The sequence below is a fragment of the Homo sapiens genome, chromosome 3 (genome assembly GCF_000001405.40).
Source record: "Homo sapiens chromosome 3, GRCh38.p14 Primary Assembly".
Taxonomy (NCBI): domain Eukaryota; kingdom Metazoa; phylum Chordata; class Mammalia; order Primates; family Hominidae; genus Homo; species Homo sapiens.
The window spans coordinates 194,808,933-194,835,546 of NC_000003.12; the positions used below are offsets into that span (position 1 = coordinate 194,808,933).

The 26,614-nt window shown below is 48.2% G+C and overlaps 1 long non-coding RNA gene across 1 annotated transcript in view; it reads left to right on the forward strand.

Annotated features, from left to right (window-relative positions):
• Window positions 1–17,518, forward strand: part of LOC105374292 (uncharacterized) — a 120,878-nt gene extending 103,360 nt beyond the window's left edge. Inside the window, exons 4-6 of the long non-coding RNA XR_001741084.2 lie at window positions 11,629–11,799; window positions 12,722–12,965; window positions 16,495–17,518. This is a non-coding gene — a long non-coding RNA (uncharacterized LOC105374292). The remainder of the gene's footprint in view (window positions 1–11,628; window positions 11,800–12,721; window positions 12,966–16,494) is intronic.
• Window positions 17,519–26,614: the final 9,096 nt, after the last annotated feature.

A 26,614-nucleotide genomic window follows, 5' to 3' on the forward strand; every position in this document is an offset into this window, starting at 1 on the left:
GGTTCAGCATGAGGCTACCTAGAACTGGGCAAACTGCCCAGAGAGAAGCCCTGTTCTTGCCCTGCAAAAGACACACTCACCTCCACATCACCTCTCTGCTGTTCCAGCCAGCTGGCAACACCCCCAGGCCCAGGAAGGATATGATGGATAAAAGGGCATAGCAGATTGGAACGGGGATACCTGTCATCAGGTGGAATTAACAGGGACCTCTTCTAGGTGGGGCTACCTTGGCTTCAAGACAGGGATGTTTGGTCCCTCCCCGAAATGTTCCTGCACTAAAACAATCACCTTCGCTTCGGAACTGGCTTGGTTGCCAACCCCTTTGATAAGAAAGGGGCTAAATTGCTCATTATGATGGGGTCCTGGCTAGGTGGGTCAGGATGGGAGCACAGGCTTTCCGTCAGCTTCTGTATCCTGGGGTTTAGAATGGAGTTGTCTTGGGGAGCAGCTGTCACTGTTTAATGGTAGATGAAATACTCACTCTCTCCAACAGCATGAGAAGATGGTGAGCTGTTATTGTTATTATTTTTGATTTACAAAAAGAGCAAGTCATAAAGCCCCAGGGTCATTTAGCTAATGGACACATAATTTTCCAGGCGCTCTCTCATGCATCAGATTATAGGCAAGAGAGCCAGCTCTGTGCTCCTCTCCTAGGCTTGGTCTGGCTGCACAGTTAGGGCTACACCAACACAACCTGGACAGCTCCAAACAGTCTAGGATGTTTGCACCAGGTTTCCGCTCCCAGGCCTGAGCGCTCGAAGCTTCTTATAGCAGCACGTCTCGATTTGTCAGTAATAGGAAGATTATCCACTCAAGAAGATAGAAGTCCATTACTAGTCATTTACCTGATCCTTGGTCATTGCGGGGACTGCAAATGTAGGGAACTATTCGCTCCACTCTGATGCTTCTCCCTTTCAGTAAATAAGACCCAGCTACATGGGTTTACTTGATCTCTAAGGAGTCTTTGAAGTTTTGCAACATAGTCTGTTTACAATGACCAGATTCCTCTTCCCAACTTCCCATCTTGAAATTCTGCTCCTTTTTCTTTTATGGAGTTTATGGGAGGGCTGGGGCTTCTCCTAGTTGAAAGACTGTTAATGATCTTCTGATAATCATGAAAAAACTTTCTCTGAAATTTCCATCAATAAAAGGCACATCATATACTGCCTCCTCTTTGGAACCTCCTTGTTTCTCCAGTTGGAATTGAGCACCCCTCTGCCTGCACATTCCCTTCTTGTGACATGGAAACTGTGCACCGTGTTGTGGCTGTACACAGTTGTGTCTCTCCCATTTGCTTGTTAAGTCCCTTGAGGGCAGGGAATGAGGTCATGAGGGAGAAGCTGTGCCAGGTACGTAGCACAGAGTCAGAAGGTGATGGGCGCTAAAGGAGGTCAGCTGCCTCTCTGGTCTGCCCAGTGCCGGGTGCAAAGTGGGTCAATTTAGATTTTAGTTGAACACACATGGAACTGAGAGGTCAAAAGGACAAACAAGCTAAAGCAATAAGAAATAGGATAAAGGTTTTGTGAGACTCCTGAATTATTTGTTCTGAGTGGGGAAAGAGAGGGGATATGTTCAGTTTTGTTATAATACAATTGTGGGTGGCGGGGAGGGGGTTTCCAGATTTAGTTGCACTGAGCACAGGAGACAAATCAGATTGTGTGATTTGAATTTCTTGATTTTGAAAATTTGAGATGGGTTCCACCTGCTGCTGCCACCCGGTCTCTGGGGTATCTAAACCACATGTACTGACACCGGGACAAGGGAAGGGACCTGCCTCTTCAACCCATAGTGTACCCCACACATGTGGGTTTCCTGTTTGGCTTAAACTGAGGGAAGGGTCATCATTTACATTTGAAGTATTTTTGTTATACGAAATGTTAATGATCATGCTATTTGTAATAGTGGGGCTTGGCCTCCAAACCTAGGGGAGCAATTAGAATTATTTTACTGCAAAGAGCAATCTGTTGCCTTTATAATTTTTTAGTTCTTCAAATAATCTCCATCTGATTTTTTCTTTAGTTAGAACAATGTAGGGGGAAGTGAACTGGGGCCCTCAGGAGGAGGATTATTAATAGTTGCTGCCACCCCCATCAGCTCCAGTTAACCAGCACACAGCCTTTGCCACTATCTCTAAGCCATACAAGGGTCTTGCCAAATAATTATTATTTCCTTTACTTTAAGATGGGGGAACTGAGACCCCAAAAGGATAAGTGACTTCAGCTCAGGACTGAAGCCAGGATTCAAAATCAGACCTGCCAGCCTTCAAAGCTTGTGTCCCTGCCTCCAGACCTTCTCCTTTCCAGAAGCCAGGCTGGCTTCTGTGCAGGAGCCTGTGCTGCTGGGGTGTGTCACTGAGCCCAGGACGGGCCCCACGGGCAGGAAATGCACCTGAGAGCGTTTGCTGGAGAGTCTATGGAGGGCGAGGGCTTCTGCTGTCTGAAGGGCCCGTCTGATCTTTTGATATCATGAAAAAATCTTCCGCACAATTTGCATCCTTAAAAGGCAAATCAGGATAACAGATAATGACCCCTACGGTTTCAGCTCTGGCTTTCCTCCGAGCCTGTGCAATCGCTCTAAGATGTAGCAGAAAGGTCGCACAGGCTGTGGACTCAAAGCCGTTTACCTTGACCAAGTTACTCGGCATCTGGGAGGTTTAGTTTCCTTATTTGTAAAATGAGGCTAATAAAATCCCCTTCTTGGGGGTGATATGACGGTAAAATGATACGTTGAATGGCAGTGCCTAAAACAGTACCTAGAACACGGTAAGCACACCGTAAAAAAGAGATTAAAGCGCATGAACGTAAGCATACACTCTCAAAAGACTGGCGTAGATATTGAGTATATGAATATATGGCAAAGGCCACAGGGCTTTGTTAATGTAATGCGCTGGATGCTGCTGTGGGATGATTACAGGTGATTTTGCGGTAGGGACACTGAGCCTTGGGGCAAGCATGCGATTCATTGGGGGTCGTTGCCATTTGCTCAGTGAGGGAGTGATGAGTTACTCCTCCTCTGTAGCCTGTCGCCCACTCCTCAGGGCCCCACCCATTAGGAAATGCTGGACAGTGGTAGGTGGAAGGGTGGCCTGAGCTCAGCCCTGCAGGAGAACAGAGGAGAGGAGAAAAGGAAGGCCCACACTCAAGAGCTGAAAGCCTCCACCATTTTACTTTAGTGGTAGACTCCAAGCAGTTTCATTACTTCGAAGGGCTGAAAAGGCAACAGACACCAGCCTATTTAAATAGCCCAAATCTTGTAGCAGGAGAGACACAGAGTTGTTAAAACTCAGCAAACATTTATCAGTCCCCGAAGCACCTCCAGCGTTCACCCAGGGGCTTGGAAGGAGGCTGTTCAGTCCGTGGGAGTGGGTGATTGATGTGCGTAATATGCCACGGTGGCTCTGGGTTGGGCCTTTATTGCATTAGCTCCCACGCATGAAGCGTGATGCATGGACTCAATTCACTTCACATGGCGGATGGGCCTGCATTGACATGAGGATGCCTCTCCCCGAACACATTTGAGGCCAGGGAGGAGATCATGAGGAAAGATGCAGGGTGACAGGAAGGGCTGGGGACATGGACTGTCCTGCTGCCACCCATGATTATGCAGTTCACCTGGGGCTGGAGCACCACGTGGCAAGAGGGCTTTTCTGTAAAAATGGACCATTCCTTCACTGGATCTGCCATAGCCCTTCTGTTCTGTTTAAGATGCAGTGGGGAAGGTAATCAGAGAATGAGCAGCATCATGGATGCCTGGAACCTGCTCATTTTGGTTTAAAATTTGCTCTTTTTCATGCTTCTGGCTTGTTTTTCTTTGCAGTTTTGAACTTGCTAAACAATGTTTATTTATTATTTTCAAAGCCTTTGGCTCACTCGGACAAAGGGAGCTCAGATTAGTGGAGAGAACATTTGATTAGGATCTCAGAGACCTAGCGAGCTCTGTGATCTTGGCAATTTCACCCTTTCAACAAACATTGAGGGCCCTCATTCTGTGCAAGGGATCCCATTAGATGCCATGGAAGATGCCAAGATGTGTGAACAGCCTCTGCCCCCAAAGTGCCATAATCCCTCCCTGTATCTCACTTTATCTGAAAATTGAGAACTGTGGGATATGCCCAGCATCTTCCATAGAGTTGCAGATAGGATGATGCATGAAAGCACTCAGCACCTTCTCTCTGTCCTCGAGTATTAAGAGAATTACCAAGATGTCATCAAGATGTGAGTGCTAACTTTCCATTTTTATTTAAAAATGAAACTAATGATGACCCTTTTTACTTATCCAAAGGTTTGAAATGTAAGAACCAAATAGATCAACTAAACCTTTAAGTCAGTCTCAGGACATTGGCAAGTAGGGCAGAAAGGGGCTGGCTGCCCCTCCATTCTGCTGGGGCCAGTATCCCTCTGGTTTTCCAAGGGGCCATTAAAAATACATAGTGCCCAAGAAGTGACAAAGAAATGGAGTCTCTGCTTGTCCTTGGAAAAAAATGTAGGCCACAGTAAGACCCCTGAGAAAAATCTCTAGACAGTCTGCCAACCTCTTTCCATCATCTGGAAAGGAAAGGAAGGTCCACAGAGGCAGCTCAGTAAGGGCAGAGGGTGGGCCACAGGCTCTCTGAGTGTCCTCCATGATTCATCAGTGTGGAAAAGCGAACATCAGTCCTCAGAGCCCAGCTTCGAGGCACAAAAAGGCTGCAAGACTCAGCCAGAAAGCTGGGCCCACACTTGGGGATGAGGGTGAAAATGGCTCACAGAAATGGTTTCTCAACAGCATTGACTGCCTATGGGGTGTGCATGAGAATTGCAGCAGGATCCTCACAGATGAAGGGGGGCTCCCTGGATTCAGAGGCAGGTGCAATATCTCAGGTGTTTAAGGAGTCGGGTTAAGTTGTGATTATAAGGACTATGCAATCAGATGACTGTCCTGAATGGCCACATACTCATTGGAGCAAGATAATAAAAGGCTGAGAGTGACTAATCACATTTAAGATAAAGTGTGAAAGTTTGAGGGTCCCCTTGACAGCATAGAAAGAATTTTCATCTCCTGCACCTGGAGGGCAGAAAAAGCTCAGGATCAGGCACAAGACTGAATCATGAGGGTGGCTGAGCTCCAGAGAAGGTTCAGTTCTCGACCACAGCAAGTCTGCAATGCCACCATTGTCACGGCTGGGAAGAAATAAGACCTTGAAATGGGATAGGGACATCTGGGCCAATACACTTGAGGATCATGAGCCCTCTGGGCCTGGAGAAGGGGCTCACTCCTCCCTATTAAAGGCTATTCCCCTCCTTTGCTTAAAGATGTTGTAACCTCTTTCAACAAAAATTCAACAAAAATTGAATGATCATGGGAGTTTGTTACTAGCTGTCTTCAATAAGAACAAATAAATTAAAAAGGGCTGAAGAGAGAACTATGAAGCACTTACTTTAAATTAAAAAAGAAAGGGTAGGTTTAGAATTGAAATGTTACTGTCACCAGAATTACCACATCTCAGATAAATGTTGCTGTAAGTCCATTCCTAGGGTGTAAGTCAGGAAAGGAGTTGTTGGGCTGACCCTGGCTCTGAGTGAATGGCCCAATACATGGTGGGTACATAGTGACTACCTTGACATCCAGAGAAGGCACAGTTTATGTAAAGGGAGACTGGGAGCTGTTAGAGTTTTAGAATCTTCTTCCCTCAGTCTTCATGGGGCTTTAGTGATCAAATGGGGGGCACAGACTCATGTCAGGCAGCCCTGGCTGGGTGGGGATTCTTCTTTTGCCCTTTGTAGGTTGTGTCACCCCAAGCCAATTTCTCAGCTTCAATGAGCCTCAGTTTCCCCATGTGTAAAATAGTGTTAATAAAACCTCCTCCCAGAGTTGCTGAGAGGGCATATAAGAACAAAATGAACAACTCATAGCGCCATGCCCACCTGCAGTGTGAAGGGTGGGAGGGAGAGTGAACAGGCAGAAGGGGTCTTCTACCAACCCAGCTCTGGGAGGCCTCTGGGACCCAGAAAACCACCTAGGGTAGCAGGAAGGGAGGGCCTGGTCAACTGTGAGAAGGCAGAGGGATTGAATCTGGATGGCCAAAGAGAGAAAGAGGCCATCTGATGATGTCCCTGTATCCAGGCAGCATTCTGTCAATTACCCGGGCTGGGATGCTTCCCAATTTCATAAATAGTCAAAGGGCACTGAATCATCGAGAATCATAAAGAATGGCTTCTTTGTGCTAATTTTATTTCCTAGCCCAGCTTGCCTTTCCATCTGTTTTCAGCATGACCCCGATTTCTGCCTAATTTCCCAGTTGGATGCTAGAAGCCGAGAGAGGTTAAGTGATTTGCCTGTAAGCCTGTGGTGTGGTTACTTTTTATAGTGGTGAAGTCTCCATGGCCCTGTCAGGGCCTCCTCCACAGTAATCCTTTAGCACAATCCAGGAAAAACTGTGAGGCGAGGAGTCAGGAGGACTCGGTATTGAACTCCCACCGGAGGAAGAGTTCAGCTGCTTATCCTCTCTACGTCTCAGTTTCTCCGTCTGTCAAACGGGCTAAGCCACACCAAGCCTGCCAGGCTGTTGTGAGGATTACGGGAAGTGTGTAGCCATCTCCAGCCACCCTTGGCATGTGGTAGGGACTCACTCAATATGAGGTGCTGTTCTTTTTGTTATCTCCATACAGAATCTTATGACGGGAAAGCTCAAACTTATTATCTTGCAGGTTTCCTTATAGAGGTTTTTTTTTTTTTTTTTCACAGACTAGTAAGATTTCCAGAAAACAAGGGATCAGTACAGGGTTGACAACTTTTATTTTTCTGAGCAAGTCCATTGAAACAAACTATCATTCATTAGTACCATACTTTCATTAAAAAGGGATAACTTCACACACAATCACACACACGCACACGCACACACTCAGATTAGAAATGACATAATATCAGGATAATGCAGCCTTTTAAAGTTGGGAACAATTCAATTTGTAAAACACGTACTACAGGCCAGGCGCAGTGGCTCACGTCTGTAATCCCAGCACTTTGGGAGGCCAAGGCAGGTGGATTACCTGAGGTCATGAGTTCAAGACCAGTCTGGCCAACATGGTGAAACCCCCTATCTACTAAAAATACAAAGAAATTAGCTGGGTCTGGTGGCAGGTGCCTGTGATCCCAGCTGCTCAGGAGACTGAGGCAGGAGAATTACTTGAACCCGGGAGACGGAGGTTGCAGTGAGCCTAGATTGCGCCATTGCACTCCAGCTTGAGTGACAGACTGAGACTCCATCTCCAAAAAAAAACTACATTGTGATTTTTTTCATTTCCCCATTATTCAGTTTGGTGAGAACTGTGTCATATGCTGACAACTCTCCGAAGATCTGTACTTGAGACCCATTGCTTCAGTTCATTTGATCCCCAAAACAACAATGTGAGGAAAACTGGGTAGGGATTAAAGCAGTATTGCCATTTTATAGGTAAGCAAACCGTCGAGGCAAGATGATGTTCTTTTGAGCTCGCAGTGTCTGTTCTATTCGTTAGGATCACGTTCATCGTCAACAGAACCCTTACTGGAGTATTTCCTAAGTGCCATACAGGGTGCTAAGTCCCTTACAAGCATGAGCCCCTCTAATCCTCACAGCCACCCAGTAACTGAAGGGTGCTATCATTCCTCATTTTAATAATAGCTAAAGCGAGGGTTAGACAGCTTAACTCTCCAAGGTCCAGGGTCACACATAGAGTGAGTGGCAGAACCAGGATTCAAACCCAGGTTTAGACTACTCCAAAGCTGCCCCGCTTTATGGATTTTGATCTGCCTGCGGTCACTAGCTGGTAAGAGGGAAACTGACTACAAACCCTGAGCATTCTGACTCCTGGCCCGCTGCTTCCCCCTGGGGTAAAGGTCTGAGTGGGTGTCTCTGCCTCTTCCTGCTGCTCCATCTGTCCGGATACACCATCACTTGGCTCCATTAAGTTTTGTTGACTAAAGAAAGAAGTAAGCTTTTAAAGAATTAAAGTTAGTTTTATTTCAACGTTTTATTGAGGATTATCGCCGGGGGGTAGACTTTTAGAGGGTTTTATTAGACTGTGTTAAGTTAGTACTTTAGTTTATAGTTTATACACAGATTGTGAAGATTTAGTATGTGTAAAAGTTTGTCTAAGTTTGGGTGTACGAGTATATTTGGTTATAGTTTGTAGGGATAGGTATTAACCTAGACAGGTGTTATTTTACGTGTAGGAGAAGGCAACTTAGATATAATTGCCAGTGGGAACCTGGGACTGGGGTCAGAAGCTGAGCAAAGAATCCAGCATAAGAATTCTTTACATTATCGGCTTGACTTTTATAACCAGCAGTGAGCTAAAGGCACTTGCCTCTTCCGCCTACTGGGACATAAAACTCAGCCAGGAAAGGCAAAGAACCTCTTAGCACACTACTCCTAATGGGTTATGAGTCTAGCAGATACTGGTGAAGGTGGAACTCTCCAGGACTGTCTTAATCTGTTTTGTGATCTGGATTAGGGAACAAAGCTGCATCCCTGTTCCCTGTCTGAATGAGCAGTTCCCATTTTATAAGCGCAGAATAAACACGGAAAGTGAGTTGTTCCTAGTCTTCCAGTCAACTGAACGTTAGGTGCAGAATCTCCCATACAGCTGGGCAGTCCAAGTCTCTGCCTCAACCCTGCACTTCAGATGGCCCCAGTGTAGGCCTTACTCCAGCTCCAGGTGGGGAAATCCACAGGGTCAGGGGCCATGCCAGCAGCAGCCCCTGCAGCCTCTTCCAGACCATGACACAGACACATGGGATGACAGAATTTCTGGATCAAATGGCTGGGAGCCACCTCTGTGGCCTGAACTAGCCTCTTGCCCAACCTGCAGAGGTCAGGATGTACCTCAGACAGGAGAAGAGGGGCACTGTTTCCAAGTCTGACTGTGGGTCGATCGTGCGTGCTCCTTACCCCGCCTCACACAGAGACTCACACTCCTTCTCTCCCCAGCCCTTTCCCACCAGAGCCAGCAGGAGAATGGAGATTCACTTTCTAAATAAGTTTAACAGAAGGGACTTTGACTTGAGGGCCACTAGGATCAATGGAGGGTAGTGGGGTGCCGCACAGGCTGCAAACAAGAGGATTCAGTGAAATCTACATAATGGATAGTAAGACTCTGCCCCTCTCCCTACCCTGCCAAGGAGCACCTGCAGCCAAGCACGTGCCCCCCGGGAGACTGGGCTCTGCCTCTCTAGAGAAACTGAACAGATGACAAGAACCGACCTTGAGAGACTGGCATCTGGGGGTCCTCTGACGAAGTGTGTGGCTTGTTCTCTGGGCATTCACATGCAATAAGCTGATGTCATCACTCTCTGCCTGAAAATGCCCTCAATTCTCTTGCCAAGCCTCCTCTGTTGCACTCAAAATCACACACCTCCGTGCTGCCCAAAGACCCTTCAGAGTTCTTCTGGAAAGCTTGCTGTCCCCCTCTGCAAGGGAATAATTGCATACTTTACCCTTTCTCCTTAAACCCTGTCACTTTCACCAGGGAACCTTGTCTCATGTCTTTAATAGCAGCCATCAGGGAGAACCAGCCTCGTCGTCCTTCTCCCAGTGCTGGAACCGTCCCTCCATCTGCACCAGCTTCTTCCCTCGGGCTCTGATGGACAAGCAGCCTTCCCCCTGCCCACAGAGACCCCCTCACCTCCCACTCGAAGCCCTCTCCCCTCTCCTCACCCACTCTAGGTTTCAGCTCCACTCTCTCCCTGTCTCCGGTCTTGGTCATTCCTGTAACACACAGTTCCCCATCCTCTCCCATCTCTGACCAGCTTCTGCTGGCTCTGTCCTCTTCACAGTAAAACTTTCCGACCACATTGGCTGCACTCGCCAGGCCCCTTTTCTCACCCCCGTTCACTCTCCTAATCTTACTTATGTAAAGTTCACTCTCCTAAGCTTACTTATGTAAAGCCTCTTCCAGGTTATCCTTTCTGTGTTGTGGCTGCCGACGCTCTAAGACTGAGGTTCATTTCCTTGCCTAGTTGTCTGGTTTTTTTAAACAGTAAGCTCATCATCACCAAGGGGTATTTTTGGGGCATTCCATGTCCCTTGAGTTAAGAGGATTTCCCGGCCAGGCGCCGTGGCTCACGCCTGTAATCCCAGCACTTTGGGAGGCCGAGGTGGGTGGATCATCTGAGGTCAGGAGTTCGAGACCAGCCTGGTCAACATGGTGAAACCCTGTCTCTTCTAAAAATACAAAAATTAGCCTGGCGTGGTGGCAGGCGTCTGTAATCCCAGCTACTCAGGAGGCTGAGGCAGGAGAATCGCTTGAACCCGGGAAGTGGAGGCTGCAGTGAGCCGAGATCGTACCACTGCACTCCAGCCTGGGTGACAGAGCGAGACTCTGTCTCAAAAAAAAAATAACAAAATAAAAATAAAACAAATAAGATTTCCCTGCAGGTGGTTCTGCCTCTCCCATGCCAGATCTTTTGGGTTTTGCTGTTCTGTTCTGGACTGGTTCTGAGAGCGCTGATGCCTGAGAGCTAATGAGACACAGCCTCTCCTGACAGCTCCCACCTGTCCAATCTGGATCTGACAGCTCCTGCCTGTCCAACCTGGATTACTTCTAGATCCCTGACCCGAGATGTAAGATCCAAAACCACCCAGAATGTTTCTTGTTCCCCCCAGATCTCATGCGATGTGTGGAAACAGGACGAGTTTTAATCTGCTCAGCATGCAGGTGTACATGTGGGCCTCACTGTCCTCCACAGAATGCCCCCAGGAAGGGGTGGGAGGATGGATTACAAAATCCAACAGGCAACTATCAGGTAGTACAGCTCCCAGAAGTCTGGTAATCCCTCGTCGACATGTCCTATAATGGAAGTAAAGAATGCGAGAAACCAAAAATCCTGTGGATGGGAAATGGGGATGAAACCATGTCATTAAATAGCATTTTAGGGAAATGTGCTCAAAAATGTGGTTTAGGCTGTGTGGTGGCTCACGCCCGTAAAGGCCGGGTGCGGTGGCTCATGCCTGTAATCCCAGCACTTTGGGAGGCTGAGGCAGGCAGATTGCTGAAGCCCATGAGTTCGAGGCCAGCCTGGGCAACAACAAAACCCCACCTCTACAAAAACCATAAAAATTAGTGGGATATGGGCATGGTGGCACGCGCTGTAGTCCCAGCTACTCAGAAGGCTGAGGTGGGAGAATTGCTTGAGCCTGGTGGGTGAAGACTCATGCAGTGACCTCTGATTGCACCACTGTGCTCTAGCATGGGTGACAATGAGACAATGTCTCAAAAAAAGAAAAAAAGAAAAGAAAAAAAAAAGAAAAACTTGGTTTACAAACAGGTTACATTAGGTGGAATGATTATGTACATTGCTCTTTGCCTTACCTAAGAATGCATTTAAAAAATCACTGTGGCCAATGGTCAGGAGCCTGGGCCAAACTTCCACGGACCAGCTAGCTACATCACCTCTGTAAACTCTGCTTCCTTGTTAGTAAAATAAAGCTATTCATACCCCTTTCATATGCTCAAAGCCAGGACATCAGTTTGTAACTCAGCACCGGAGAGGGCTCCAGTCACTTTTTGAGCTGTGGTCACAGGCTAGACAGGGAGGAGGAGGACAGCTAAGTTTGCTCAGTGTTGAGAGTTTTGGAGAGTCTTGAGTGAGTCCTGTCTGTGCAATGCAAAGGAGAACCATGGAGAGGAGGGGAGGCTGGACCGGGCTTCACCTCACACGGTGCAGGAATGGCCACAAAGTCCTGATGAAGAGCAGCCCCTGCGGGACATCCCTGACAAACAACCCTACAGCTTCTGCTTGAGTCTCCCCAGCATGGGGAACTCACCACCTTCCAAGGCACCTGTAAGTACTATTCTTGCTAGTGATGAGTTGAAACCTGCTATCTTCTCTCCCTCTGGGTTCCCAAGAGGTCAACCTGCCCCCCAAGAAGATTCCACAGTTCTAGAAATATCTGTTTCCAGATGCCCTTCTAAGATAGGAAGTGGTAACCCCACTGGGCTCCCATTCTTTATCCTAAGGGAGAGAATCCTCCCCACATTGTCCAAACAATCAGGGTCAGAAGAGTCACGGAAGAAGAAAAAATGGCAGCCTGGAGGCCTGGAACAGTCTATACTGCAGGGGGCTTGCCAGGGTCAGGGATGGTATCTGTGGTTGAGGGAAGCAGAGGGTGGGGTGGGGTGGGGGACTCAAATGGCCTTTGTAGGGCTGATGCATACAGGGTCCAGGGGCCCACACTCTCTAAGAAATCTGGTCTCGAGCTAAGATGGCTCAAGTTTACCATTTTAATACACCATTGTACAGTGTCTCTGCGTGTGAGTGGGTGCTTTGCTATTGATAGCATGAACATGGCTCCTTCTCACTGTCCCTCGAAGACAGGAGGGACAGTATCACTTTCTCAACCAAGGCCTAACGTGGGGTGGGAAAAAAAAGTTTTATCTCAGAATAGCCTATTACTGTCATCCTCATACTTATTTTTACCTAGAATTCAGAATTAAGAACATTTTTTACTTAAAGAGAGCAATTCACATGTCAGAAATTTTTCCTTAAGAAGGTATTGAAATGTATTGAGTTAAGAATGTATTGGAACGTACTGAGTTAAGAATGTATTGAATTGTACTGAGTTAAGAATGTATTGAAATAGGTACTGAGTTTGGATTTTTTTTTTTTTTGCAAATACTCAATAACACTCGTTAGTAGACAAAAGCATCAGTGGTGTAAGTTTAAAAATACTGGAGTGACTGCTTTGCTGGCTATTCTTTTATAGCTCTTGTAAATGAAGAAATTAAAACTGCAAGTTGAAACTGAGTCACTGATGGCGCCAGATGTTTCTGGAGCAAAACTGGGAAAGAGGGTGAGCATTGGAAAGACACCTCCTCCTGTTATCTTCGAGAAGCCATTTACTGGGAAAACAAAAACTGAGCTCCATGATGCATAAATTCCAAAATGCAGAGGCCAATTTCTTTCCCTTTGACCACATGTCGGAAAGGCTCGGGGTTCAGTAACTGGAGGTGAGTCATGGCCTTTCCTAAACTCGAGTGAATGTGTTGGGAAAGGCGGGTGGTCTTGGGCCTGTGTCAATGTGGGCTTCTTTCCAGGCCATGAGAGCCGCTCTCAGAGTAGCCAAGCAGGGTCCTGCGGGGAGGTCTTGGTGACATACGTGTGCCCATTGGAGGCGTTTGTGTCTATCCTGCGGTGAGCGTGCACAATTAGGCATATGTATGATTGGAAATGCATTTTCGCCATTGCTTTCATGTTTATACATGTACATATGTAGGAATTCATGCAATGACTATTAGATAAGTAGGCTGTGGAGGTCTTGAAAGCAGGGGCTCCAAGTGTGCAAAGTACTCGGTTCTCTACCTGTGGTGGGTCCTTCATAGTTGGTAAACAACAACAACAACAGTTCTGGGGGTGAGGAGTGGAGCAAAAGTTGGTGGAGTCATCTGCATTTAGGCAGAGCCTGGCATGTGCAGCTCCAGCAGCAGGGCCAGGACACGGAAGGCTGGCATGAGAAAGAGGGCTAGCTGTGGGGCTGCAGGTCAGGGGAAAGAGCAGCGCCTGCCCACCCATCAACACACTCCACGGCACAGATGCAGGTGCAGGGCTGTACGGAGGGCAGGTGACACGATCTCAGGTCCTAGCCCCCTGGGGGGAAAGCAGCCCACCTCCTGGGGTGATCTCTGCACTGAGCCCTGAAACCCAGGTCCCTCAGCTTCCTCAGGACCACCCTCTACGAACTTCACTTTGCCCGTCATTCAAGGCCTTGTCCACTTACCCCTCTTGCTTCTTCATGCTTGGAAGAGAAGCGTCCTCAAATCTGTCCAATCATACCTCCTTTTCCTCTTCTTTTCTCCGCTTCTATTCATGGCCAAGTTTCCTAAAAGAGTGCTTCTCGTTTGGCGTCTTCACTTACTCCCCTTCCACTCTCCTTGAAGTCTGGTCTAGTCTGCAACCCTCATCAGCTGCCTTCCCCCAACCTGGAACCTGTCCTGGCCCGGGTCACCTTGACAGACTCCTAGATGCTAAACGCCAGAGGCACTCCTCAGTCTTCCCACGGCCTGGTTCTTCCTGCAGCATCCAATGCTGCTCTCAGGACCGCTTTCCTGACGTCCCACTCCTGCTGCTCCAGGATAATGCTCTCTCTTGGTGCCCTCCGCCCTGAAGGCCAGACTGATTTGGGGCTCTCTTCCCTCCCTGGCCCTTCCATGTTGGTGTGCACCACAGGCCTGCCTCATCTCTGCTCCATCATTGTGTCTCCGTGGCAGTGTTTCCATCCCTGGCTACACATCAGAAGGAGCACCTGGGATCACTAAAAATATACCAATGCCAGGGCCCATTATACAGAAATACAGTAATCACATCAGAATGTCTGGGAATGGGACCCAGATATCAGTATTTTTTTTTTAAGCTGTCCAGTTGATTTTGATGAGAGAAGGTTGAGACCCATTGTTCTAGAGGCTTCTTCAACTCCTTACCACCTTCCAAAAGGTTTGATGCAAGCCTGATTTCTTCCTGAGCCCCACAACTGTATACCTGACTTCCTGCTTATCAGTGCTGCTTAGATAGCCACGTGCCCTGCCCCCACTATGACAGACGCAAAGCAAGCTTGCCCTTGCCTGCACCTGCTTCTGCCCCGTGTGCCCTCACTCTGTGGATGGCGTTCATCTGTTCACAGTCACTCAGGCCCAACCCTGGTACCCTGGACTCTTCTTTTCTCCTGCCCTACGTATCCAACTGGTCTAAGCCCTGTCGCTTGTTTTCATCCTACCTTTTAGTTACTTCTAAAGACTTCTAGAACTGGCTCCTTCTTTTTCATCCTCTCTCACTCCACCTGCCTCAGCCCCATCCTGTCTCACCTGAGCTATTGTAAGACCTGCATCTGGCCTTCTTCTCTGCAGCCTTGTTTCTCTCCATTCTCCCCACAGCTACCACAGGGACAGCTCCAACACCGACCAATGATCACATTCTCCACTGCTGGAACCCCCCAGTGGCTCCCCATGCCCTTCAGGCAGCCCCGTACCTCCCGCTCTGCCCTGCTCTGGTCCAGCCCCGGGTCCCTGCCTCCTACCCACTCCCACTCTGACCCGCTTTCAGCTCCTACTTGCTCCCTGCTCTCCTGCCTAAGCTGCTCCTGTCTGGACAGCATTTCTGTTTCCTGCTCAGCCCTCAGATCCCCAAAGGGATGACTTCCTTCCTGGAGCCTTTTTACCTTCTCCCGCTACCCTGTGCCCACCATGCCCCAGAGTTCTGTCCTGGCACCATGACCTCCCCAGGACAGGGAAGATGTGATTTATCTCTGAGAAGGCCTGGCCCAGAGGGCATGCTGGGGAAATGCTTGTCAAATGAATGAATGAATGGTGACTGGTTTGACTACAAGGGAAGGTGGGTGTGGCCAGATGTGCAGGACACCAGGAAGAAATTCTGAGCCAATGTTGGCTAATCCGAGGTCATCCTACCTTCAGTCACACCAGAGACGTTCATCTACATTGTATTGTATAACAGTGCTGTTAGAAATGCACATATATCACTTTCATTTCCTAATCTATAACTTGGGGATAATAATATCAATTTGGCAGAAGTGCAGTGGGGGTCAGAGAAGGTCACGGCTGTGAACATGCTTTGGAAATGATAAATGACCGTTCACAGGTGAAGGGTGAGTACCCAGTGTCCCAGCCAGGCAGATGCCGTGTGCTGTTGATTCTGAGAATGTCCAGTGTGGAAGCGGAGTGCACAGCTGGGCACAGTGGTCCCATCGCAGTGGGCTTTGTGGTGCCTGGCAGGCATCCAGAGAGGGATGAGCCTGCACCTGCGGCAGAGGCCTTTGCACAACGGGCGATCCCTGTGGGCAGGGAGGAGAGTGCGGGGTTTACGCGCGGCACCTCACTCACTGACCCAAGGACCCGCTAGGCATCAGGTCCTAACTTGGTGCCTCTGCGTGCGTGTGGTGAGGGCTCCGCTCCCGTGACCTGGGGTCAGCAGGCTGCAGGGCCTTAAAAATAGCGCTGGGAGGATATTTTTAGTGCACCATCCTGAGGTGTGGCTGGAGCCTGCGGCCTCCTATGACGCATGACAATAGTTTTGGCTCCGTTTGCCAGTGATTCAGACAGCTGGTTTTGGACTTCAGGGGTGTAAAAATAAAACCAAAGTGGGGAAAGTTGGATTCTAGCCATGAGGCATCCCCCACCCCCACAGCATCTGCATCATTTGAGGCATCCCCACCCCCACAGCATCTGCATCATTACTCCTCAGAAGGTTTCCTTTGAGCCTTGGTCCTCTGGAGCTTAACAAATCACAGTTCCTCCTGAAGGGTTTTGGGCTGGTGGTAGGACAAAGGAGAACCCCGTACTAAAGGCCAGAAACTGAGGCCGTGAGAGGATGTTTAACTTCCCCAAGTCACATAGTCAATTTGTGACAGGACCACATTCAGATCCATGTTGAACTCCAAAGCCTCTGCTGTCTTGCCGATTTTTCAACCACAAAACCATTTTAAAGTCTACAACGCACTGTAATAAACTGTATCTGATTTGATCCTCACAGGAGGCAGTGTTTAATCCCAATTTTACCAGTGAAGAAACTGAGGCTCAGAAAAACAAAGTGACTCCAAATTCCTTGAGCACCTGGCCAGGGTCAGTCCCCACGGTGGCTGAGATGGTTGACCAATGGCCTCTGGGGAGAAGGCTATGGGCACAGACACTGGTCCCTGGCTTGTTGGGAGGGAACAAGGATGTCCATCTGTCCTCCCTCAACACTGCCTCCTGGGGGACAAGGAAGATGCCCAGAGTGAGTGGGCAGGGTGGGCGATGGACTCATACCCTGCCTTGGTGTCTCTGTGGCTCCTGGAAGATCCTTGCAAGCAGCGGTGAGCACTGTGACTTGAGCCCTGCGGTGGTGGCTTGCCATGTGGCCAGTCAAGGTGGACGATGGACTCATATGCTGCCTGGGTGTCTCTGTGACTCTTGGGAGATCCTTGCTGGCAGCGGTGAGCACTGTGACTTCAGCCCTGCAGTGGTAGCTGGTCACATGGCCAGTCAAGGCTCAGTCTTCTTAGTAATCAAAGGACTGAAAGTGTCCAGTAGCTTTGGATGATGGTTGAGGACTCGTTAATAAAGACCACTGCCCTATGGGAATGCGTTATACTCTCTGGAATGAGCCGTGCAGGTGGGCTCAGAGAACATACCATTTGCACACTCATAACAATGTAAAAGTATGAAAGTAAAAGTCATATGAAATCCTCCTGTGCAGAGCTAGTTAATGTTGGGTGACTGTCACTCCAGGCATCTGTCTTTGCACTTGCAAGAGGGATAACATGTAGGTAAATAGGAAAACACTGTACAGTATATGCTATCCTTTACTTACTTTAGTCAATGGTATATCAACAAACATAAATCTATATCATTTTAACTGCATCTGATTCCATTGTATGAATGTACCTTACTTTATTTAATCAGTAGGCTTCTGATTGCAATTTGCATTGGGTTTTGCATTTCAGCCATCTTTCGTGATCCTTAAAGCTTGGGCCTCAATCAAGATACACAAAAATATGCACTTTAAATTACTTAACAGAGACTCACCTTCACATTGCCCCTACCGTTTTATTTCTATTTAATGACAGAAAAAAGGGAGATGATGGAGACACAAAAGGAGAGCCTCGCCTGCCACCGCTCAGGCAACCTCACCAACTGCTTTACTTTGTTAAATGCAAGAATCTCTGTATTAATTTTGCAATTCTTAGCAATAAGTCACCTGGCTTGACGAAGCTCCAGTCTTATTTTAGGGCCTTGTCTTACCCGGATGTCACTTCTCTGAGCCATCCCAGCTAGCAGAGGGGAGAGGAGAGCTACGTTCTCCTGCAAGCAAATGTCATCACATGGTAAGCCGAGGTTCCACTACTGGTGCTTACGGTGCCGCCCCAGGCAGCCTGTTGGACTTTGAGCTCTACTTTCCTTGCAGGATCATCTTTTGAGAGCCAAATGCAGTCATATATGTGAAAGCAAATGTTTTTTAATTGCAACAGGCAATAAAACATGAAGCTGTCATTTTGTTAATTATTTTGACCACCTAGTGGTTCTTAAAATTTTCAAATATGGCTGTGTTTTTATTTTTTATTCTATTTTACTATTTATGTATTTGTTTGTTTGTTTATTTTTTGAGATGGAGTTTTTGCTTTTGTTGAGCGGGCTGGAGTGCAATGGTGTGATCTTGGCTCACTGCAACCTCCACCTCCTGGATTCAACTGATTCTCCTGCCTCAGCCTCCTGAGTAACTGGGATTATAGACATCTGTCACCATGTCTGGCTATTTTTTTTGTATTTTTAGTAGAGACAGGGTTTAGCCATGTTGGCCAGGCTGGTCTCGAACTCCTGACCTCAGGGGATCTGCCCGCCTCGGCCTCCCAAAGTGCTAGGGTTACAGGCATGAGCCACCATGCCCGGCTGCATCTGTCTTTTTAAAGTAAAAAGTTTTCCCTGATGCCTGACAAATATCTGATCAGCCTCCAGCACATGGCCAGCCTTGAACAAGGTGCTAGGAGTATAGCACCAATAAGATAGCTGTGGTTTCATCTTTTCCAGAGCTGGCATTCTAGTAACTGAGAGTCCTTGCACTACCCATTGTAGTATGCATGGTAGTATTTGTGGTAGTATCTGTTGTAGTACCTTTTGTTGTATCCATAATTATATCCATAGAGCAAGGAAAGTGCATCATGGTTGGTATGAATTCAGTGCTATTTTTAAATGAATTTCTATGTTGTTAGTTACAATGGCAGCTCTGTTGTACATTTGAGAAACAAGGTATAGTTGCAAGACTTCATATTCATTTAGTCTAGAAACAATGCTGGATTCATAAGGAATCTGTGGACTCCTTAGCAATAATTTTGAGCCCTTCTACCTGCTGCCTTACATTCCAGCTCACGATTTTGGGGCCTCAGGCCTTAGACTCTGGAGGGCTATAATAAATTTCTAGACACTTTATGGTCATTCATATAATTTGACACATTTTCCAGTTCTCTCAGGTCCTGATTCTGATGGATACTTTTACCCCCAATCTTTGGAATTCAGCTAACTTACCAGCTCTGTAGGGAAAATACGGCGAAGCCATCATAGAGAAGTCCCAAGATGCCAATTAGGAGAAAATAAAGACAGGGACTCCTCCATCCCAGGAAGAAGGCAGTAGGAGGTATTGACAATTAGGTTTTGAGGACTAAGTCCTGTTGGGACCAAAGCATCTCTTTTTTCTAATTATGTCCTTGGTGGTATTTACGGAATTTAAGAGTGCTCCTCTGAACATGATGGTCTTCTGATGTCCCTCACAGGCAACTCAAAAGAATAGGGATAATTCTTCGAGAAAACATGTGTGATTCACCACCAAAAACCACAGAGGCTGAAAAGGACCTCTGAGATTTAGATTTTGGAATTTATATGTGGGAAAACTGAAGTTCTGTGCGAGAGGAGATTTGACTTGTCCGAGTTTATGAGGAACTCAGATCTCATGACCTTCCTGCCTGGGGCTTTTCTTATTGTGCTAACCCGCTTTTTCAAGATTGTCTCTGACACCAGGGATTTATCCTATTGCAGCAATTCTATTCATGAATGAATGAATTCAACGGCCATTTATTGAGTTTTCCCTGTTATATCCTGGGAACTGTGCTAGCCACTGGAGATACAATAATGAACAGGAGAGAATCTAGGTCTCAAGGTCTTACGTCCCAGTAAGGGAAACAGACAACTAAACAGGTAATTAGCGCATATTAAGGTAATGTCTCAACAGCGGTACAGGGCCTCCTAATCCAGCTGCTGGGAAAGGAGGTGGTGATGGAGGGCGCTGAGTGCTCTGGGCCAGTGTCCTCCCCTGGTACCCTTTGATGGTGTCTAAACCGTCTTCAGGGTTGACTAGGAGTTAGGGGAGGGAAGGCAGGGAAATCCAGGATGACGTGTGTCATGTTTGAAGACCTGGAAGCAAGAGCAAACACGGGGTATGTGTGATCAGAGCATTCGTGCGAGAGAACGAGTGCTGAGGAATAAGGACGTAGCAGAGGTCAACGGGGACCAAGCTGGAAGGATTCTGTGAACCAGAGCAAAGGGGCTTGGATATTATTCTGAGGCCTAAGGAGGCCATTGAGGGGCGACAGAAACCTTGTTGGATTTGTGGCTTAAAAGATGGCTCTGGATGCTGTGTGGAGACCAAATTAGAGGGGACTGAGAGGTGAGTCAGGAGTTGCGGTTACAACATTGTGCGGTGTCCAGGCAAGGGCAGAGGTGGCAGAGGGCTGGAGAGAAGTGGTGGCAGTTAAGAGAACCTTTGGAGGAAATTGAGTCAGAGGCCTTTGTGAGTTACTGGAAGTCCATGCTTATGAGAGAAGTCTCATAATTCCTTGTCCATGAAGTTTAATGTTCTTCAATGAGTGAGATATTGGTTCACCTGGAAACCTAACACAGAAAAACGGATAAGCCGTCTCGCTGCTGTGGCTCTGTTCCCACCTGCGGGCTTTGTCCCATTCCCGTCAGGCCTTGGGCCCTTAGGGCCTTGAATGCCCGAACATCGATGTAACCAGTTCAGCTCCCTGGGCACCTATCAGGAATTCTTTATGGAAATAACTTGAAATGAGATTACAGTGGATTGGGGGAGCTCCTCCAGGGAAATACATATGTCTCCTTTCATAGGACAATCCCTAGAGAATCAGTGACTAACAGCGATCCGCCTCCAATCCTAAAAAACTGCTGCGGGGCCGGGCGCGGTGGCTCACGCCTATAAGCCCAGCACTTTGGGAGGCCAAGGCGGGTGGATCACGAGGTCAGGAGATCGAGACCATCCTGGCTAACACGGTGAAACCCCATCTCTACTAAAAATACAAAAAATTAGCCGGGCGTGGTGGTGGGCGCCTGTAGTCCCAGCTACTCGGGAGGCTGAGGCAGGAGAATGGCGTGAACCCGGGAGGCAGAGCTTGCAGTGAGACGAGATCACGCCACTGCACTCCAGCCTGGGCGAGAGCGAGACTCCTTCTCAAAACAAACAAACAAACAAAAAACTGCTGCGGCAGCTTCTAGGACAAATCTGAAACTAAATCCGCACTTCGATACTGCATCAGATGCGGGACGCAGAGACAGAGAGGAAGGAACCTGGTAGGCAGTTCCAGCTGAGCCAGCAGAAACCAGCAATGTAGCAAGCTCTCTACAAATCAGGGCAGAAGTTCTTCTGAGATAGGTGAACAAATTGTAAACAGACAACAAGAAGTCAGAGCCAAGGTTAAGGACCCCTAAGGTAACCCAGACCCCTAAGGGAACCCACCTGATAGGCTATTTAAGAAAGTAAGCATTGTCTTAGAAACGGGAAATCGCTGGTGCAGCCAGCACTTGAGTAAGGCAGTCCCCCGAGGGCAGAGACCATCCTGCATGTTGCCTGCCAGGCACACAGGGGATGTGAAATGCAGATGAATGAAATGCAGATGAATGAATAACGAATCAATTGATTGTAAATACTCCATTTCTTGGCTTTGACCGTATGGAAGTTGTGGAACAGTTCTTGGGGGGAGTGGGTACAGGTATGTGTTCTGATGGGCCAGGTATGCTGGACAGAGCCCTTGGTGCTGAAGGAATGCATCTGTGATCTCCTGGGAACACTTCCAAGCTTCTGGAGGGCTGCAGTTCGGGCCAACCAGTCCAAGACGACCTGAGAGAAATCCCAAGGCTCCTGCATTCCTGGATCCTGTAAGGAAGATGCGCTGAAAAGGGCCCCTCTGGGCATCCATCAGCGTTCCAGCAGGACACCTGGCAACGTGTACTACATACCTCCCTGGAAGGAGCTCCATTGTGTCTGAATGTGGCTGTGGGTGAGGGAGCAAGAGGCAGCAGGGTGTGTGTGTGTGTATATGTGTGTGTGCACGCACATGCATCTGCAGGGTTTAGACTGTGATGAATGAATATACCAAAAATAAGGATTCTATGTCTATTAGAAGTTTTATTTAAATTTCCTTCCTTGAGGTCCTTCGTTGAAAAAGGTGGTCATCATTTAATGGAGTTTGGCAGCACATTTTCCCAGCAACAAAACAAATTAATCATCTGTAGGCTTGGGGAGCAGATCTTCATCCCTATTAGGAGTGTGGGAAAATAGAAAATATTGCTCTGAGTGGAAGCCCAAAGGCCAGAATCTCCCAGTTTGGAGCTCATTGCAGAGGACTTTTTGCTTCTTTCTGGCTTCTCGGCTGCATTCTGAGTAGAAGAGGGTGTGAGACAATGTCCTTCAGATAAACAAGATGTCACTGTGGTGGGGAAATAATGTGAACACATAGAAATTGCTCAAGAAATGAGCACAGATGGAGGGAATGGAGTCAAGGAAGGAGGGAGGGAGTCCATATCATATTTGAAAGACATCTAATCTTTGTTGGAAGGGCACATGTGGGTGGAAAGAATTCAAGGAAGCCTCATTCATTCATTATTTATTAATCCTTTACAAAACTCCATTTAATAGACTTTGGTGCCTGCCATGTGGCAGGTACTGAGCTGGGAGCTGGTCATACAGCCAGAGACAACACATGTATGGCCCTTGCCCTCATGGAGCTTATAGTCTAGTGGAGAGGAGAGGCCGCCACTGATTAAGACCGCAAGTGCTGTGAAGAAAAAGAACAAGCAGAAGCAAGCATAATAGGGGAGGCCCGCTTAGGACTAGGGAAGGTGACATTTAAGCAGAAGGCTGAAAAACGAGCAGGATTCCATCCTGTGAAGAGCTCGGGGAAGGGCATGCCGGGTAGAGGGAGCTGCATCTGCAAGGGCCTAAGGCAGTGAGGAACTTGGCTCTGGGAGAAATGGAAAGGAGAGGACAGTGTGTCTAGAGGGTGGAAGGCAGAGACACAGGAAATGAAACAGGAGACATAGGAGGGGCCAGATTCTGTAAGGCCTTGTAGGCCTCAGGACACAGAGAGGCGCTTGAGTTGCATTTTGAGGGCAATGGGAAGTTGCTGGTGGGTTTGAATCGGGGCTTAGGGTTTTTTGGTTTGTTTGTTTGTTTGTTTGAGAAGGAGTCTGGCTCTGTCACCCAGGCTGGAGTGCAGTGGCGCGATCTCTGCTCACTGCAAGCTCCGCCTCCCGGGTTCACGCCATTCTCTTGCCTCAGCCTCCTGAGTAGCTGGGACCACAGGTGCTCACCACCACGCCCGGCTAATTTTTTTGTATTTTTAATAGAGATGGGGTTTCACCATGTTAGCCAGGACGGGGGCTTAGGTTTTTAAGCAGTCTGGATGCTCTGTGAGGTAAGGATTGGAAGAGGCAAGAGTGGAGGGAGTGAGAACAGAGCGACAGTTGCGGCGGCCCAGAGTGGGGAGGGTGGGGGAAGTGGGGTTGCAGGGAAGGGCCCTGGAGAGGTGTTCTAATACAGAATGGATAGGACTCGGGGCTGCTAGATGTGGGGATTAGGAGGAGAGAAAGATCAAAAGTGACTCCTACATTTCAAATTTGGAAAACTATTTATTTGTTTACATCATGGAGAAAATTGTCATGACCTAAACTTTGGAGAAAAGGAGGAATAAGATAATTTCACCAATAATTCAGTGAGTAATGCTCACCCTATCACCCTCTGCCACAGATGAGGAAAGGTTAAACAAGACCTGATGTTTTCCTGCTCACTGGAGTTTGCTGGGGTTATTGCGCTGCCTTTCTGTTTACTGGACTGATAAAGAAAATAAAATTGAGCAATTGCTTCTGCCTCAGGAAAAGAAATCATGTCCTGAGTGAATAATGATTGAATAAGAAATGAGATGGGTTGTTATTTTAAACTAGGATTTCCTGCCTACCAGAAATCGTGGGGAAAAGATCATTGCATGATCAAATTTGGGAGCCCAAGTAATGGAAGAAGATACGATTAGCTAGGCAAAGAACATAAATTTCCACAGTGGGCAAACGAACCAGAAAAAAGTCACAACAGGGAGGAAAATGGAAAGATAATCTCAGAGACAAAAGCATCTGGGGTATTTGAATGAGTTAAGAGGAAGGGCCTGGAATCAGTCCGCAGAGCCTGGGCTCCAAAAGGGTTCAGTGGCTCAACCAGGAGTTCAGGTGGCAAAAGGGAAAGGGGAAATCTGACCAGATGACAGGCTGTTGTCTCAGGGTGAAAGGTAGGGGGTGGAAGGACAATGGGTATATGAGTCAAAGGCACCAAGGTCACTGCCAGTCCACAGCTGGCCCTACTGCCTTGATCTGCACCAGGGTGGGCAGGACTGAGACTCCTTTGGTCACTGGAGTCCGAAAAGGAGCTGAGGGGCTCCCCTGCTTTCTGCACCCCTCTCCCCACCCTCACCCTCTCACCCTTTTCTCCCCTCCTACCCTACATTGGATCACCCAGCCAGGGAACTCTCCTCACAGGCTGGGCTTCTCTCTCCTCCTTGGCTAGAAGGCCTCCCTCCTCTGACATCATCATCATCATCAACACTGATGAGCTGGGACTCTGTCAGATGTAGGGAATGCACGGCCGCATGAGCACCAGTGTGACAGCAGCTACACACAGCCCTCCAGAGCGACTATATAAAAAGGCTCACCCAGCAACTGATTGGCATCCATGAATCAGGGAGTGAAGATGGACTGACCCTCAGAAGTGTCTAATAGGATAAGGCGGCTTAGGCTAAGGGCAGAGGCTGTGGCTAGCCAGCAAGAAGTCAGGAAGCTCACTCCTACAAAACACAAGGGAATCAATTCTGCCCACCTGAGTGAGCTTGGAAGTGGATTCTTCCCCAGTAGGGCCTCCAGAAGAACATGCCGCCTGGCCAACGCCTTGACTACAGCCCTGTGAAACTCCGAGCTGAGGATGCGGCTGAGCCGCGCCTGGACTCCTGACTCACAGGAACTGTGAGCTAATGAGTGTGTGTTGTCGTGTTTGCGGTGATTTGTAACACAGCAATAGATAACTCATATAGCTTCATAGGTGTTGGGAGAATTAAGTGAGATTCTTCTCATGAAGCCCCTGGCACGGGAGGCACATACCAGGGCCTCAGTAAGTTTGGCTGTTAGAATCACCATCACACTTTGTGTGGCACAAGCCACCAGGAGGGGAACATTTGTGAACCATTTTTTGGGGAAAATCTCACAAAAAGCAGAATCCAAGGGGAGTAGTAAAGAAGAGCAAGGCTTAGAGAGTCAGCAAGAGGGGCAGGTGGGAGTGGGAGAAGTGGCGTGGCAGAGAGATGCTGGAGGTAGAATTTATACGGCAGCGTCTAATTGAGTCCTTCCTTCAGTTATATGTTCCCAGAGGGTATAGAAACAAAGATCAATAAGCAGAATTTCTGTCCTTAGGAAGCTCACTGGTGTGTAGAGAAGTACACAAACGGCATAATACACATGTCACGCACGGGCAAGAATGTGCTCGAGGCTTTGAGACTGTGGAAAAGGAAGTGATCTACACATTCCTGTATGATAAGCCTGGGTTGAATGGAGGATCTTTACAAGGGACAGGTGGGAGGCAGTTGAAGAGGTAGGGAAAGGTCACCTGGACCCCCACTGGCCTATAGCATATCTTTGCATGACTTAGAAAATGGGGGCTCCTCTGAGTGGACCGATTAGAGAAAGTCATGCCTTTGTGTAGCTGCAGCCAGACTGGCACTAGAGTTGTCAAGTAGAAGGTGCCTTTCTGCAAAATAGAGAAAGTCACCTCTTCCTGTGGAGGGAGAGGTCTCATGCCGGGCCATGGAATAGGGCTTGGTAAAAGGAGCATGGGGCCGGGTATGGTGGCTGTTGCCTGTAATCCCAGCACTCTGGGGGGCCAAGGCAGGCAGATCACGAGGTCAAGAGATCTAGACCATCCTGGCCAACATGGGGAAACCCTGTCTCTACTAAAAATACAAAAAATTAGCTGGGTGTGGTGGTGTGCACCTGTAATCCCAGCTACTCAGGAGGATGAGGCAGGAGAATTGCTTGAACCTGGAAGGTGGAGGTTGCAGTGAGCAGAGACCATGCCACTGCACTCCAGCCTGGAGACAGAGCAAGACTTTGTCTCAAAGGAAAACAAACAAAAAAAAAGGAGCATGAACTGGATTTCAGCTCCTACTTGCTCCATTCAGCCAAATGGCACACGCTGCACACCTGTGTGCCTCCCGGGCCAGAAGGGAAAAGGATCTGGCTCCAGGGGCCTACCCCTGCAATTCCTCATCGAAAACCAACAGTGATTGCCCATCCACCCCCGGCTCACAAGCAGTCCTGCAGAGGGGCCTGATGGTTCCACGTCTCACGCCAGCCAGTTTCCAGGTCTGCGAATGAAGCGGTAGGGCCTGGTGCCCTTCACGGTCCTTTTTGCTCCTACGGTCTGGCCTTCTGAGTCTGCGTGCTCTGGGCAGATGTGAATCATGTGTTGGCATCCTCCACAAGGTCCACACCAGTGGAAGCTCAAAGAGCCTTTATTGACTCAGGTGGAAAAATCCAGCATGATCTGGCCCTGTGCACCACTGGTGGTGGAAAGGATAAAAAGTTCTGCAGGGTAGTGAAAGGACTGGTGGATATCATTTTTTAAAGTCTAAAATGTGGCCAGGTGCAGTGGCTCACACCTGTAATCCCAGCACTTCAGGAGGCCGAGGCGGGTGGATCACCTGAGGTCAGGAGTTTGAGGCCAGCCTGGCCAACATGGAGAAACCCCGTCCCTACTAAAACTACAAAAATTAGCTGGGCGTGGTGGTGGATGCCGGTAA